The 16144-nt window shown below is 50.2% G+C and overlaps 1 protein-coding gene across 8 annotated transcripts in view, besides 1 other annotated feature; it reads left to right on the top strand.

Moving 5' to 3' along the window:
- Window positions 1-16144, top strand: part of PLXNA4 (plexin A4) — a 525349-nt gene that overhangs the window by 459295 nt on the left and 49910 nt on the right. For 6 of the 8 annotated variants that reach the window (XR_927546.3, NM_001393897.1, XM_017012779.1 and 3 more), the window contains 7 exons: window positions 1787-1923; window positions 3931-4095; window positions 7204-7297; window positions 7774-8013; window positions 8662-8808; window positions 9473-9707; window positions 14474-14616. Coding sequence is in view for 7 of the 8 variants with exons in the window: in NM_001393897.1 (NP_001380826.1) it covers window positions 1787-1923; window positions 3931-4095; window positions 7204-7297; window positions 7774-8013; window positions 8662-8808; window positions 9473-9707; window positions 14474-14616 (1161 nt within the window). In the remaining variant the exon portion in view is untranslated. Of the gene's footprint in view, window positions 1-1786; window positions 1924-3930; window positions 4096-7203; window positions 7298-7773; window positions 8014-8661; window positions 8809-9472; window positions 9708-14473; window positions 14617-15524; window positions 16071-16144 lie in introns of those variants that run through there. The other 2 variants (XM_011516676.3, XM_047421018.1) reach the window with 2 other exon arrangements.
- Window positions 8990-9511: an enhancer, noted in NCBI's record as "H3K4me1 hESC enhancer chr7:131864642-131865163 (GRCh37/hg19 assembly coordinates)". NCBI's record gives its function as "activates a minimal SCP1, AML or CMV promoter by ChIP-STARR-seq in primed H9 embryonic stem cells {active_cell/tissue: H9 hESC(primed)}" and the evidence as "EXISTENCE:reporter gene assay evidence [ECO:0000049][PMID:30033119]".

Raw genomic sequence — 16144 nt, 5'->3', positions numbered from 1 at the left:
CATTCATGGAGCCAAGTGAAGAGGTGGCAAGTAATGCAGAATTTGATTTCCTGTGCAAACCCACCGTGAAATATTTATGAAGCATGGCTTGAATAATTAATAGCTTCTCACAACTCTAAAACATGTATCCATAACATCCTCTCCCCACCAGTGAGCCCCTTGATAGTGCCCCAGCAACACCTGCAGGGATTACTCACTTCTACCCCTTCTAAGAACCCTCACCCACAGGCTGCCAGGGAGCACCAACCCCCATCTATTTTAACTTCCCTGAGTTCAACTCTGTCTCTTTAGGACCATCCCTGCATCGAAGCCTGTGTGCACAATCTTCTCTCTCTCTCTCTCTCTCTCTCTCTCTCTCTCTCTTTCTCTCTCTCTCTCTCTCTCTCTCTCTCTCTCTCTCCTTTCCTTTCCTTTCCTTTCCTTTCCTTTCCTTTCCTTTCCTCTCTGGGAAGGTTGGTGGGGATACTTTAAGATGGGCACAAGTACCATTTGAAGAGGTACTGCAAGTTACAGAACAAGAGAACTGCCAGGAGCCTTGAAGATCACCACTTTTTGGCTCAGCCCCCTGATTTTGTTGATGAGAGAGGTGAAATGTCTTGTCCAGAGTCACACAGCGAGATCCAGGCAGAGCTGAGAAAGGAGGGCTCTTTCCACAGCCTCACCCCACCCTCTTCCTGGTCTCTGGTTGAGCCAAAATGACAAGCTATTCCTTGGCTTGGCCCATGTTACAGGGATACTAGACCTGGGATCCAGAGACAGGGTGCTGAGACCTGGTGAGGCAGGTCAGGAGCTGTGGTCTGCGTGTCTCCTCACCCATGTGCCCTGATCCTGGACCTGGAGGCGCATGTGCCAGGTGATAGGGAAGCTCTGGGGCTTCCCTATCAAAGCATCTCCAAGGGGAGGTTGTCAGCCTGCTCCAAGGAACTGAGAGGGTTCGACTTTTGGTGCTGAATTCTTTAAGGAGGAGGTAGCTGGGGAAGGGAGAGAGAAATCTTCATTTAAATGCAGATACAGGCTTCTCACCTGGGACTGAGGAAAGTTTTTCCATTAAAATGCTAATGAAAGAACAAACTGCAACTCCAAATCCCCAGCTGTCAAGAGCTTTTTTCTGCCCTGCCCCCAACCTGGACTCCTCACTGGTCCCATTCTGGCAGAGGGCTGGGGGCAGCCCTTGAAAGCAACTGACTCTTTTCTGTTTCTCTCTCTGAGTTTCCCTGGGGCTCTCACTTCCCATTGCTCTGCCACTGGGTGCTTTGGGCAGCTCTTTGTAGAGACCTGTGGGAGAGACAGTTTACCACCCAAGAACAGAGCTGTAGGTCAGAGAGGGGTTGAGAACTGGAGCTCTGGGGTAAGATCTCAGTTATGCCATTTTTTTTTTTTAGCTGTGTGACCTTGGAAAACTAGCTTAACATCTCTGAATCTCTTCTGTAAAATAATAATGCCTACTTTAAAGAATTGATTGGTGATTAAATTATATATATGTATGTGTATATAGGGATATATACACATACATGTATAATTATGAAGATGTACAATCTGACACTTAAAAAATAAGTACATGGCAGCTATTAGTATTACTATTACTAAGATAGGCATGCAAACTCTCAGGGTCTGGAACACTGCCTATCCACGCAAGCCTAAGAGAACTGCCCTGGTTCTCTGGGAGACCACTGTTACCAAAGATTCCAGAAGGCAGCTTGGGGGAGTGGGGTGCTGCCTCACGCCTGCCCAGAAGCCTCCTCCACCCCTTCCTGGTTGTGTCTCAGGCCACATCCTTTCTACACAGACACTGACTCTCTCAGATCTGAAGCCCAGCCGGGGGCCCATGTCCGGAGGGACCCAAGTGACCATCACAGGCACCAACCTGAATGCCGGAAGCAACGTGGTGGTGATGTTTGGAAAGCAGCCCTGTCTCTTCCACAGGTAACTCAGAGGGCCCCTTTCTGCAGCACCAGAGAGGGAAAGGTTAGACAGGTAAATGACTTCAGGGTAGCTTTGTTTTTATTGCAGAGAGTTGGGAGGGTGTAACCACCTGACAGGTTCTTCTTGCCAGCTGCACAGATAGAGCCAATTTCCTGAGACAGCATTATTGCAATAGAGAAAGAATTTAATCAATACAGAGCTGGCTAAATGGGAGATCGGAGTTGTATGATTCAAATCAGTCTCCCTGAAAATTTGGAGACTAGGGTTTTTTTAAGGATAATTTGGCAGGCGGGGGGTTAGGGAGTGGGGAATGCTGATTGGTTGGGTTGCAGATGAAATTGTATAAAGTTGAAATAGGTTTTTCTTGCTGTCTTCAGTTCCTGGGTGGGATCGCAGAACTAGTTGAGCCACGTTACTGGTCTGGGTGGTACCAGCTGGTCAATCAGAATTCAGGATCTGAAAAGTATCTCAAACAGTGATCTTAGGTTTTACAATAGTGATGTTATCCATAGGAGCAATTGGGAACATTTGGAATCTTGTGGCCTCTTGTTGCTTATGTGCCTCCTGAGTCATAATTTCTGATCTTGTGGCGAATTTGTTAGTTTTTCAAAGGTAGGCTCTCTGGTCCCCAGGCAAAGAGGGGGTTTGTTTCAGGAAAAGGCTGTTATCATCTTTGTTACAAAATTAAACTATAAACTAAATTCCTCCTATAGTTAGCTTGGTCTGTGCCCAGGAATGAACAAGGGTAGCTTGGAGGTTAAAAGCAAGATAGGGTCCGTTAGGTCAGACTTGCACTGTGATAATTTTTCTATGTCAGAAATTTTTGCACAGGTGCCACACTTTTTTGCAACAATTTTTGCAAAGGTGGTTTCAATCACCTTATGGCTTGGAAGTACTCCTCCTGCCTAACAAAGTGGACGTGCTCTTTGGGAGAGGATTTGGGCTCAGTCTGGAGACCTGTCAGCCCTCCCTTCCCTGGATGGGCTCCATATGCTTCATGGCCCATCAGTTAGCCCTGGTGCCCCCATAGCACCCACTCTGCAGAACCCTAGGTTACCCCAGAATGCAATTTGGAATCTACAACTAAAGCCCATTCACGAGGGTCAGATCCACTCTGGGAGCTGCAGAGCCAGCTGGACCTGCTCAGAGATGATAGGCACAGCAATCCAGTGGTTGAGGTTGAGCCTACAAGGCCAGGTGACCTTGCCTCCCCTGGTCCTACTGTGCAGCCCCAGAAGGGCACACCTGTCATGAACTGGAGCCTAGGGGGTAGGAGCAAGGCAGGAGGTGCATTCAGTGAAGGACTCTAGGCAATGTGGCTGGAGAAGCTCCCTCAGCTGGCCTGAGATTCTCTAGAGAGAGGATTTTTCCTTGAGGGAGCTACGCTGAGAGCTGTGACAATTCCCAAGTCAGACCTGGCCAGGCCTGGCATCAGTAGTGTTAAAGAAACAATTATTTATTCTGACACTTGTTAAAATGGCAAGGAAGACTCAGGACGATTGCAACTGATGTCAAGACTACTGCATCAGGGAAAACAGATGGGGCTCAACTCCAAATACTACAAAGACAGCAGGGGGTTTATAGCCAATGAGCAGAATAAGGGGCTCAGTGAATGAAAAATCACTAAGAGGATACATCAAGGTAGATGGACTCCTGCTAAACCAACTTAACGTGATTCTTGCAAAGGCAGGCCAGGGTGATCAGATGTCAAGTATGGGAGGGTTCTCCCCAAATAGACTTAGCCAGATTCTTGCTAAAAAACAAGGCTAGACAGGCCAAAGACAGACCCAGGGATGAGGCCTATTTGAAAAGAAGGCTCAGAGGAACCTGTCTAAAGTTTGGCCAAGGAGAGTCTTTGTCACTGGCTCTCCAGTTTTCTGTCTGAGAGCACCCACCCATGGCCTCTGAGCATCCTGACATGCAGGGAGCGGTGTGGGAGGGCCTTGACTCAGGACCTCTGTCCTCCTCAACACCAGGCGCCCAGTGCTCTGTCTTCCTGCCCTCCAGGCGATCTCCATCCTACATTGTCTGCAACACCACATCCTCAGATGAGGTGCTAGAGATGAAGGTGTCGGTGCAGGTGGACAGGGCCAAGATCCACCAGGACCTGGTCTTTCAGTATGTGGAAGACCCCACCATCGTGCGGATTGAGCCAGAATGGAGCATTGTCAGGTAGGAGCTGGCCCAAGCGGACCTTAATGCTTCTGCACCTCTGTTTCCCTTCCCTGACTCTTGAAAGCCAAGGAGAGTTCTGGGGGCCCAGTCCTGCTTGGGGGATGGATGAGCTGGAATTGATTCCAAACACCCCCAAATCAGACCTTCCTACTGTGGCTCCCTCCTTCCACTGAGAGCACCTCTGTGCCAAACCCAGCCTGGAGGCCAAGCTCCTAACAACAAGAACCCACCTTTCCCAGTTCAAGGACAGGCACTGTGCTGGAGGCCATGTCCCTATGCTGCAGTGACTGCTGGGGGTGCCAGGCTACTCTTCTCACTTCTGGTAGACATAGGTGCTAATCCTGGTCCCACCTTCAGGCTGAGGGGTGTGGAAGAAGGAGTTAGATCAGGCCTGACTACTCCCTGTAGTCAGGTTCCTTGGGGGAAGCTGTGTTCTGAGCCTGGAGGCCCCATCCAAATACCTATCCTCTTTGCTCCTGGCTGCCTGCTTATATTTCCCCTCCCCTCTGCTGTAAACTCCTCAAGGGTAGAGTTTAGGTCTTGTTCCTGCCCTTTCCCAGTGCCCAGCCAGATGCACTGAACACCTGTCTCAGAGGGAGGGGACCAGGCATTGAATGTTGGTATAGAAAGGCCCTAGGGCAGGGACTTGGGGACCTTCATTTACCTTGGGCAAATTGGTACTCTTCCTGGGCCTCTGCCTATTCAGTGATTCACCCAGGGATTTTGAAATCCCAGGATCTCTAGGGTCCCTGGAGTGGTATGTCTCCCATCAAGGGAGATGGAGTAGGCACACGGCATGAGTCTGCCTTTCCAGGCCCTGGCTAGCACATGGGAATGAGAAGATGCTACAGAGGGCACCCCACAGCAAAGCTCACAGAGGTCACTGGGAAGTCACTGTAACAGGGGCAGCGTGGGAAGGGTCTCAGCCCAGCTCCACTGCTTACCAGCCCAGTGGCCTTAACAGTTCTCACCTGCCTGGGGCCAGAGTCCCTCATTTGTCCACTCTCATAGGCAGCTGAGAGGCTGAAGTGAGATGCACATGCACAGGGCCCTGCCTGGCTCAGCCCCCTCCCGCTGCCCCCTGCTGGGACCAGGCTTCTCACTGTCAGCTTCAGTTCTCAGGGGTGTGGGGCTGGGGGAGTGAGCAGGAAGTACATGCAGAAGTGGTCTCCCCGGGCTGAGGCAGAGAGCAGGGATGTGTCCAGTCCAGGGAACAATCTTTTTTTAATCCAGGGATCGGCAAACTCCAGTCCGTGGGCTGAATCTGGCTAGCCACCTGCTTTTGTAAATAAAGTTTTATTGGCGCACAGCCATGCTCACTCGTACATGTATTGTCTATAGCTGCTTTCTCACTATAACAGCAGAGTTGAGTAACTGCGACAGGGACCATATGGCCTGTAAAGCCTACAATATTTACTATCTGGCCCTTTACAGAAAGAGTTTGCCACCCCCTGTCTTAAACCCAAAAGAAAGACAGGCTTTGCCTGCAGAGATGAGATTTGGCCGTCCTCAGCAGTTACTCTATCAGGCCCAAACCTTCTGAGCTTTGGCCATGACCTTAAGGCAGATGAAGACCAGAAGGCACAGAGAGGGGAAAATCGTCTGTAGAAAGCCATGCCAGGATTTGGCCCCAGGAAGTTGATGCAGCCCTTTGTGACTTAGTCAACAAACTTTGCAACTCTCTGCGAAATTCACAGCCTGGTATAATTCAGTTCTTCTTTGTGTCATCCTCATAGAAATAGAGGTGTCACCCTAACTGGCACTCAGCTGCCATTCCTGCATCATGCTCCCACTAGGAGGGAGGTTGGAGACAGACATGTTCTGGGTCTGCCAGCCAGCTCCAGGGCTTTTATTTAAGTTAATAAAGTCTGAGGATGGGGTGAGGCTCTGCTCTTATAAGCCACCTGGGTTACTTGTGAACAGTGATGGTGGGCATTTGATAAATGTGTGTTGAATTGGTGATTGAGAGGACAGGGAAGATGGCTAGACACCAGAAGGTCATCTCCAGCACTGTCTGTCACATGTGCAAGAGCCTCTCCGAGTTTCACAGGAATCTTACACTGTGTGTGCACGCACATGCGTGTGTGCGCGCATGTGAGCAAGGAGAGAGGGAGAAGCAACTGGCAATATAAAGACAGGCAGATGGATAGATGGGTGGAAATGAATGTGGGTGTGTGTGTCAAGGATTCTTTACTCATCAACTTCTAGCTAACTAACTTGCTAAAGCCTGTTTTAGATAGCAGGATTCTTCTCGAAGATGCTCCTTTGATTGGGGATCAGGCTATTTCTCATTTTTCTTTGAGTAGCCCCCCTGGAGGACACAGTCCACTACAGTACTGCCCACCCCTTTATGCCCACTTCTCAGCTGCCCTAAGGATAGGCACTGGCATCCAGGTTTCTTTTGAAAGGTTACACAAGATGAAGCTCCTAGGCCCTCCCTGTCAGCAGTCCTGTGCCCTCCCTCTCAGCAGTCCTGTGTCCTCCCTGTCAGTGGTCCTGTGCCACCCCAGGGTACAGGAGACCCGAGTCCAAAAGCATTTCGCACTTGCATTCACATTTGCATTCATGGACCCTCTGCCTTTCCCAGATCTCAGCCTGATCGAAGCCTCCAAGATAGAAAATTATAGAACGATTGCCCTGGGGGAGCAGACTGTGCTCAGCCCCTGCAGGATGTGGTGGGGACAATCTGGAGCGAGGCTTTCATGAGGCCAAAGCTAATGTTTAAAAAGTCCCAAGATTGGTGAGGACCAGGGGAAGGATGGAGGAAGAGACACCAAGGGGTTGCAGAGAAGCAGCTGGCACAAATCAAGAGGCCTTGGAGAGCCAAGGGGGCTGTGCTGTTGACTGGGCCTCCACGGGGGTCCATACTCCAAACAAACTCAGCAAAGGATGGCCACGGACATCTGGTCATTACTGCCCTCCCCTTGGCTGCCGAGATACTCATCCTTATTACTATGCAGTCAGCTTGTCATCCTTGTCCCCATGAACATTACCCTGCTGCCTAGTTATCACTGTCCTTATTGTCATAGCTCAGTCATCATTGTAGAGTGCCATTGCTCTTCCTGAACTTATCATTTACACATCTCCTTCTTTCTTCCTGCTCAGTGGAAACACACCCATCGCCGTATGGGGGACCCACCTGGACCTCATACAGAACCCCCAGATCCGTGCCAAGCATGGAGGGAAGGAGCACATCAATGTGAGTGTAGGGCTGATGGGGTTCATGGAGGCTGCCCATGCAACACGTTGCTTCCCCAAAGGGTGTGGGTCTTCCCAAGTACTGAGGTAACTCCCTGCCCATACACTGATAACCCACAGCCTGACACCCTTGAATACTAGGATAGTGGAATAGGGGGGAAGACATAAGGGCATTTTTACTTCTTGGGGTATAGACATGGAGGAGTAATTACTTTTGGGGTTCCCTGGGTTTTATACCTTTACTCTTGCATTCTTCCAATCCTAGCCATTGCCACACCCACTATGGGCAAAACCGGAGCTGGGTGCAAGCTATAGAGCCTATTCCTTGAGTGCCCAATTGTGTGGCCCTGACTCATCTCTAATCCTCTTGTCAACCCCTTGCTATCCCGATGACATCCAGGGAGGCCCACTATGTGCACTGGGGCTGTGGGTATGTGGAGATACTGCATAGACTCCACTCTGTGGCTCCTCCCACAGATCTGTGAGGTTCTGAACGCTACTGAGATGACCTGTCAGGCGCCCGCCCTCGCTCTGGGTCCTGACCACCAGTCAGACCTGACCGAGAGGCCCGAGGAGTTTGGCTTCATCCTGGACAACGTCCAGTCCCTGCTCATCCTCAACAAGACCAACTTCACCTACTATCCCAACCCGGTGTTTGAGGCCTTTGGTCCCTCAGGAATCCTGGAGCTCAAGCCTGGCACGCCCATCATCCTAAAGGTGGAGTGAGGGTGGTGGGAGGCGGGGGTGGGAAAAGAAGGGGCTGCTGCATGGAAGGGGGTGTTCAAGTCACAGACTCCTGCCACATTTCTCAACCAGCATCTCTTGCAGAGGTTGCAGTGTAGCCCAGAGTGTGATAAATGTTCTCTCTGAGTCTGTACTGGGAAGAAAACTCTCTTTAGGGGCCGGTTCTACCCAGGGAAGGCAGATCCACCTTGGCTATTTGACTCTCAAGCTTTTATTGTCCTGAAAGTCCAAGTACTGGCAGGTCAGGCTCACTGCTTCCTCTGAGGCAGCCTTGTGCGAACCACAGCATAGGGCTTCCTTTGGAACATGGGTTACAGGTTAATTAAAGCTTATGACAATTTGAATCAATTGGTAGTGACTGACTCCAACTCTGCATTGAGAAGGATTCTGAGGCTGCATTTGGGATAAGCTGAAAGGAGTACTTTGATAACTGATTAGCCACTGGGAGGAAGAGGCAATGGTGGTAGTCATGCCATGAATATTTTTTGCACTTATTACCAAAGGTGGCTTCTTCACCAGCTCACCAGCGGGATGGGACCTCCAGGTGGGAGGACATGAGAGCCAGCTGGTAGCTGTGGTCCTCACTCTGGGGTGGGAACTGGTGCTTTCCCATTTGTACAGGGCAAGAACCTGATCCCGCCTGTGGCTGGGGGCAACGTGAAGCTGAACTACACTGTGCTGGTTGGGGAGAAGCCGTGCACCGTGACCGTGTCAGATGTCCAGCTGCTCTGCGAGTCCCCCAACCTCATCGGCAGGCACAAAGTGATGGTGAGGCTGGCAGAACCCCATCCTGGATGGAGCGGGCAGTAGGGATGCAGATGTGAGCTCAGGCCACCAAGGCTTTCCAAGAGGGGATTCTGTCCCACAAAGAACTTTTCCTGTAGCTACCCCACACCCCAAGTTCTTTCTTCATGTTCACTTTTGAGCTTCTCTCTTCTGTATTGTCATTCTTTCCACACTGGCTGGTGCAACAATAAGGAAAATGCAAAACAGCATTAAATAGTTGCTAAATCACCTGCAACAAACAAAGCCTTCAAGGAGAAGGCTGTTGCTGGCCCAGGGAATTCCGTAATATCTTAATATCATGTTCTGTGCTTCAGTTGTCCACCCTTAGATTGGGCATAAATCTTAGGGGAGCCAGTCATTTGTGGCAGACTGTGTTTAGGTCCCAGTTGTGTGCTGTTTTCTTATGAAGATGACAAAACTCGCTCCTGAATAAGAGGAGGTGAGGTTTTTCCAGTTGGGGGTGAGCTCTGTTAAGCTGTGCCTGTCCCCGCTCCCAGCCCCCCATGCCCTCTTGTCTATTTTGACACCAGTGATTGGTCTCCTTTCCGTCATCCTGCCCTGGTCACTAGTTCATGGGTAACTTGGGACTGTTGCCAAAGCTGCTGCGTCCCCACACCCAGCTCCCTCTTGCCCTGTGTGCCCCCAGGCCCGTGTCGGTGGCATGGAGTACTCCCCGGGGATGGTGTACATTGCCCCGGACAGCCCGCTCAGCCTGCCCGCCATCGTCAGCATCGCAGTGGCTGGCGGCCTCCTCATCATTTTCATCGTGGCCGTGCTCATTGCCTATAAACGCAAGTCCCGCGAAAGTGACCTCACGCTGAAGCGGCTGCAGATGCAGATGGACAACCTGGAGTCCCGTGTGGCCCTGGAGTGCAAGGAAGGTACTGAGTGGCCCCATGCTGGAGGCCATGTGTGTGTGCGTGTGTGCATATGTGTGTGCATGCACATCTGTGTATGTGTATGCATATGTTTCATATACAAACAAGCAGGCTGGGCAGCAGTGGGCAGTGCTGGAGGCTGGCGGTGTGTGTGTCTGTGCGAATGTGTGTGTGTGCATGTGTGTGTGTGCACATCTGTATGTATATATGTTTCATATACAAGCAAGCAGGCCGGGCAGCAGTGAGCAGTGCTGGAGGCTGTATATGTGTCTGTGTGCGTGCGCATCTGTGTATGTGTATATGTTTCATGTACAAGCAAGCAGGCCGGGCAGCAGTGGGCAGTGCTGGAGGCTCTGTGTGTGCGTGTGCATGTGTGTGTATGTATGTGTATGTGTTCCATTTACAAGCAAGCAGGCCAGGCAACTGTGAGCAGTGCTGGAGGCTGTGTGCGCGTGTGTGTGTGTATGTGTATGTGTTTCATTTACAAGCAAGCAGGCCAGGCAGCTGTGAGCAGTGCTGGAGGCTGTGTGTGTGTGTGTGTGAGCACGCACGTGTGTGAGCACGCACGTGTATGTGTATGTGTGTCATTTACAAGCAAGCAGGCCAGGCAGCTGTGAGCAGTGCTGGAGGCCGTGTGTGTGTGTGTGTGTGTGTGTGCGCGCGCGCCTGTATATGTGTATGTGTTTCATTTACAAGCAAGCAGGCCAGGCAGCTGTGGGCAGTGCTGGAGGCTGTGTGTGTGTGCACGTGTGTGTATGCGTATGTGTTTCATTTACAAGCAAGCAGGCCAGGCAGCTGTGGGCAGTGCTGGAGGCTGTGTGTGTGTGTGTGTGTGTGTGTGTGTATATATGTGTATGTGTATGTGTTTCATTTACAAGCAAGCAGCCCAGGCAGCTGTGGGCAGTGCTGGAGGCTGTGTGTGTGTGTGTGTGTGTGTGTGTATGTGTTTCATTTACAAGTGTGTGTGTGTGTGTGTATGTGTATGTGTATGTGTTTCATTTACAAGCAAGCAGGCCAGGCAGCTGTGGGCAATGCTGGAGGCTGTGCATCCTACCTGCATACCTGCAAAGCCTCTCACTCTATAGTCCCTATGCCTGTGTCCCAGACCACACCCATACCCAAGCAGGCCCCACCCTGGCAACACCAGAGAGGCCAAGGTCTCCTTGCCCTCTCCTTGAAGGTGTAGTGATTAGAATCTCTTTTATGTGTGGCAGGCACACAGCTTTGAATGTTGGAGGCGCTTGGTGACTTAAAGGAAAGCTGCAGACTGATAAAAAGCCAACTCCCTCCTTCTGCTCCCTGTGGGCCGAGCACCCCAACTGGGAGGGGGCAGCCGAGGGGAGCTCCCACCCAGGATTGTCACCTTCACCCCACTAGAGCACCTTCACCCCACTAGAGCAGCCTCCATACCTGGAATCCTGGTTGAGTGGGTTTTGCACTCTACTCGAGGGGAGGTCTGGGGGTGTCTTAACATGACGCATTTCAGCAATCTCCAGCTTTCTTCCTCTAGCAGGAAGGTAAGGCTGTAGGGCTGATCTGTGATTTAGAAGGAAGGGTGTTTCAAAGCTTGTATTAAAAAAATTACAAACACCACCATAAAGTGAAATCAGCTGCACTAAATCCAAGAAGGAAATTTAGGAGTCAGACTCTTGTAACCCCCAGGATATCATTTTGTGACTCATCCTGGGAGGATCTGAGCTGGTTCTTTGCTGTAGATTTGTACATGGAGTAAATCCGGCCCCATACCTGGGGCTCTCACTTCACACCGATTCCCACCAGGGCAGCCACGGCTCTTTTTGATGGGGAAGTGGATCCATTCCATCCCCTCTCTACATCCTTCAGCTGTCAACACAGCATCCGCCTTGTGGGACTGTTAATTACTGCCTTTTATTATATTTACGCTGCTTAATTTTTTTCTCCGCAATGTACTCTTTCCTCTAATTAGGTGTAGTGATTAGAATCTCTTTTATGTGTGGCAGGCACGCAGCTTTGAATGTTGGAGGCGCTTGGTGACTTAAAGGAAAGCTGCAGACTGATAAAAAGCCAACACCCTCCTTCTGCTCCCTGTGGGCCGAGCACCCCAACTGGGAGGGAGCAGCCGATGGGAGCTCCCACCCAGGATTGTCAGCTGAGGCCCCAGGAGGAAACCTTGGCTTCAGACTTTAGGGGCGAGCTATGCTGTGCACGTAGGAAGAAGGGGTCTTACAGCAAAGGACTTGTCAGACTAGCCACAGAGGCACTTTGCAGCTTGCCCAGAGCCAGCCACTGAACGTTTACAGGGCTGCACTGGCCCAAGCCAAGGGGTCTCCTTGAAGACTTCACAGCAAGCCAGGACGTCCTCTACACAAACTCAGAAGACACCCAGCTGGGCCCTTCATGGGCCTAAGCTTCTGATATATAAACATACCCGTGTATTTACAAACACTCCCACACAGGCCCACACACCCTCACTGACATACACTCATGGACTCACACATACACTCACATGCACACATGCATGCACACTCACATACACTCACTCGTGCACTCACACATACATGCCCACACATAGTGACATGCTCACACACTCATGCTTTCACATACATACACTCACTGACATACACTCATGTGCTCACACGCTCATGTACTCACATTCGTACACACACACTGACATATACTTACACACTCACACTTGCACATGCATACACATGCACTCACATGCACACATGCATGCACACTCATACACTCACGCACTCAACTTGCAGGCGTGCACACACATGCCCACATACTCATGCACTCACATTCACACATGCGTGCACACATAGACGCATGCACTCACACATGCATACACACAGACATACACATGCACTCACATTCGTACTTGCATACACACCAACACACATATGCACACTCACACTGACAAGCATACACACACACTCATGCACTCACACCCACGCAGGCACTCACATTCACACACATACACACTCATTGACATACATTCATTCACATCCATGCACTCACATTCACACATGCATACACACTGACATTCACACTTGCACATGCCTACACACTCACTGACATACACACACACATGCAGTCATACACACTCCCTGACATGCTCACACACTGTCATACTCACACACTCCCTGACATGCTCACACACTGTCACACTCACACACTCACATACACTCCCTGACATACACACTCAGACAAGTGCCCATGCACCCACACCTATGCTCATGCACATGTTCCCACACTCTCTTATAAGCATACACACCCATGTTCCTCACTCAGGACACACATGAATGTTCCCCAGGGCTTTTGGTGACAGTACATGCCAAAAACACATGCACACACACATTGGTGCAGGCTCCACTTGGATGCATTTGGGTTCTCTACTGTTGAAATCAGCCTACATATCAGGAACCCCTGTGTCTGTGTGGCCAGTGTAGAGGTGCAGGGGTGCAGGGAGAGAGGAGCAGCAGGAGAGGCTGCAGAGGACTCTCCAGGTGGCATCCCCTTGGCTCTCTCAAACAAGCAGTCTTGGGATTCTCCTGGCACAGAAAGCCAAAATTTGAGGGCCTGAAGTCTGCTCTGCTGGGTGGAGCTCCACCCAACTCATGGGCAAGGGCAGGACTGGGGTCCCTGCAGACAGTTCCTAGGGTGGCTGCATTGTGTTTCTGTGATCATCACAGCTCACTGGGCGCTGGGCTTGCTTTTTGAGGCTCTAGAGCCACATTGGGCTTGTTCATCCCTTCTGAGTTCACAAAATATTTTCTCCCTATTTTTGAGATTATGTAAATAGAAAGAAATATTTTTTAATAGTTAATGCCCACTGGCTGTTCTTCTTTGCCAGCATGTGTTAATCCATCCTGGTGGTCCATGTGCATGCATGCACGTATATGTGTGTGTGCACACACCAAAGAGAAAGGCGGAGCAGGGAAGGGCTGGGTGCCTCACCCCTGAGTACCCCTGTGGCAGAGGGTGGCCCTGGGGGAGGATGTTTCCAGAACGGAATATGGTGACAGCTTTGGTGCTATGTAACAGCCTGAGGCTCTACTGCATGCTCACTTTCCTGGGGGTTCTTGCCACTCTGTTCATCTGGAGGCCTGAGCTGCCGCCACACACAGCAGTGCCCACATGCAGGTCATAATTCACCATCAAGTAGCATCACCTTGAGGAAGGAAGGACAAAGAAATACCTTGCCTATTTATACAGAAGGACTATATTAGTGTGGCTGAGCCTCCATCTCTGCCCCATTTGGAAGTTTGATGGCTCTGATGAGCTGCATGGTCCAGACTTGTGTCTTTAAACTTGTTTTCCTTTATCAGTTTTTCTTAACATCTTATAAGGAAATCTATTCTAAAACACAGCATCAGGAATGGACTCTTCCTCATGGCACCTCTCCCTTCTCTTACCCATCCCTCTACATCCCCCTCCCCAGCATATTTTGCAAACCAAAGCCCTTCATCTTCAGATGGGGAGTCTCTCCTGGCCAAGCAGCAGCACAGATCTGTGGACAGCCTCAGCCACCACCCCACATCATCACACTTTGGAAAGGTTTTAGCCCCAAGACAAGGTTTCTTGCACTACATCTTTCTCCCATGCTAATGCCATTCATTCATCCCAATCCCAGCTATGTAAACATAGCCTCTCCAGTTATTCCCGCCCATCGTGGTCCATTGCTCATGTCTCCTAGGGGCTTGGGTAAGGGTTCTGAGCATTCTGAGATGGAGGTGACTCCTGGAGCCTCCCCATCCAGCCATCTCACAGGCTTCTCTTCGTGCCAGCCTTTGCCGAGCTGCAGACGGACATCCATGAGCTGACCAGTGACCTGGATGGAGCCGGGATTCCGTTCCTGGACTATAGAACTTACACCATGCGGGTGCTGTTCCCAGGAATTGAAGACCACCCTGTCCTCCGGGACCTTGAGGTGAGAAGCAGTGCTCCATCCTGGCATTAGAGCAGGGGAGCGTGTTGGCAATCTTCAAGTCCAGCCCCTTCTTTCGGAGGTGAGAAAACTAAGGCCAGGGAGGGGACACAACTTGCCCAAGGTCCCCCAGATTGTCAGCACCAGTCCATCCCTCTGGAAGAGGTGGGGCCAAGCCAGGGAACCTTGGAGCAGAGATGTGAGTAGGGCTTCAGGTCTTGGAGGATCATGGAGCCCTTTCAGAATTGAATGGAAGTAGTTGATGACCCTCTCCCCAGAAAAAACTACATATGCACAGAAACAAGAAACACGGCAAATACATTGGGGAACCTCAGGGACCTTTGGTTAAGGGTCCATGAAGTAGGGGATTTGACTCACGTAGTTGGTACTCAATATATATGGGATTTACCACTTAGTGTTTAATTGGAAAAGGTAAACGATGTGTTGGGAAGTGGGGTGGAAATGTGAATGAGAAATCATAACCCTCTCTTCTACCAGCAGGGACCTCATCTTTTGAACACTTTATCCCACTTACTGTCTAGCATGGTATCTGGCTTAGGTGTCTATTCATATTATACTTTGTCCTGAAAGGGCTTTGGAATGGCTTACAGAGATAAATACCAGAGAAAAGTGAAAAATATAAATGAGAAAAGACCAGGACAGAATAATAATCCTGAGGAATAATCACTATGAGTTGACTATTACTAACATCTTAGCACAGTTTAAGCCCTTTGCATGCTTTCATTCATTTCACCTCCCAAGAAGCCTCTGAAGTAAGTAAGCCCATTATACAGGTGACAAAACTAAGGGGCCAGAGTTCAGTGGTTGCCTGGGACCACACAGCTGGTGGCGGCCAAAGGAAGATTTGAGCTCAGGCATTTAGACTTCAGTGTCTTTGCTTCCAACAACAGGCCTCTGTGCTGGACTTCTGGGGAGCTATGTCAGTGACCTGCCTTACAGCTTGGATGGATCAAAAATCTACAGCCAAAGCAACAATGCAAACTAAGATTAATTCCAAGATTTACATTGTCCATAAAATAAAAACAGACCCATCACTCGGGAGCTGTGTGGGTTTGCAGGTACCGACACCTGAGGGAATGTCTAAGTGGGCTGTCCAAGGGAATGTAGTAGGCTGTGCACCTCTGTAGCAAACGTGAGAAGTCCAGAGGGGCATTCGTGGCACACACGTTTCTCCATACTTGCTTGTTGCATGAAGCATAGGCTTGTGTGTGTTTCTATATTGAGGGCATGGGCTTTTCTATCTGGAGGAGGCTCCCTTTGGCTCCTCAGCTAAGAGATACCAAGAGACACTTTCATAAGTTGGAGGTGACGGTCTCTATGTCCTCATCGACAAGGCACCTTTTCTCTCTGTCTATATGTGTGTTTGTGTGCGTGTATGTGTGCATGCATGTGTAGATGTAGCCCGTGCATAAATAAAAACATAACGTGTATCCTGATACTTTTGTCTACCCATTTCCTTGATCTTGCTCCTGGTCTTTGCTCCTCCCCCAGTCCTACTCATTTTTCTCTT

This window comes from Homo sapiens, chromosome 7 (assembly GCF_000001405.40).
Source record: "Homo sapiens chromosome 7, GRCh38.p14 Primary Assembly".
In the NCBI taxonomy this organism is placed as follows: Eukaryota; Metazoa; Chordata; class Mammalia; order Primates; family Hominidae; genus Homo; species Homo sapiens.
Note: the sequence above shows the minus strand (reverse complement) of the source record. Positions and strands in the feature narration are given on the sequence as shown.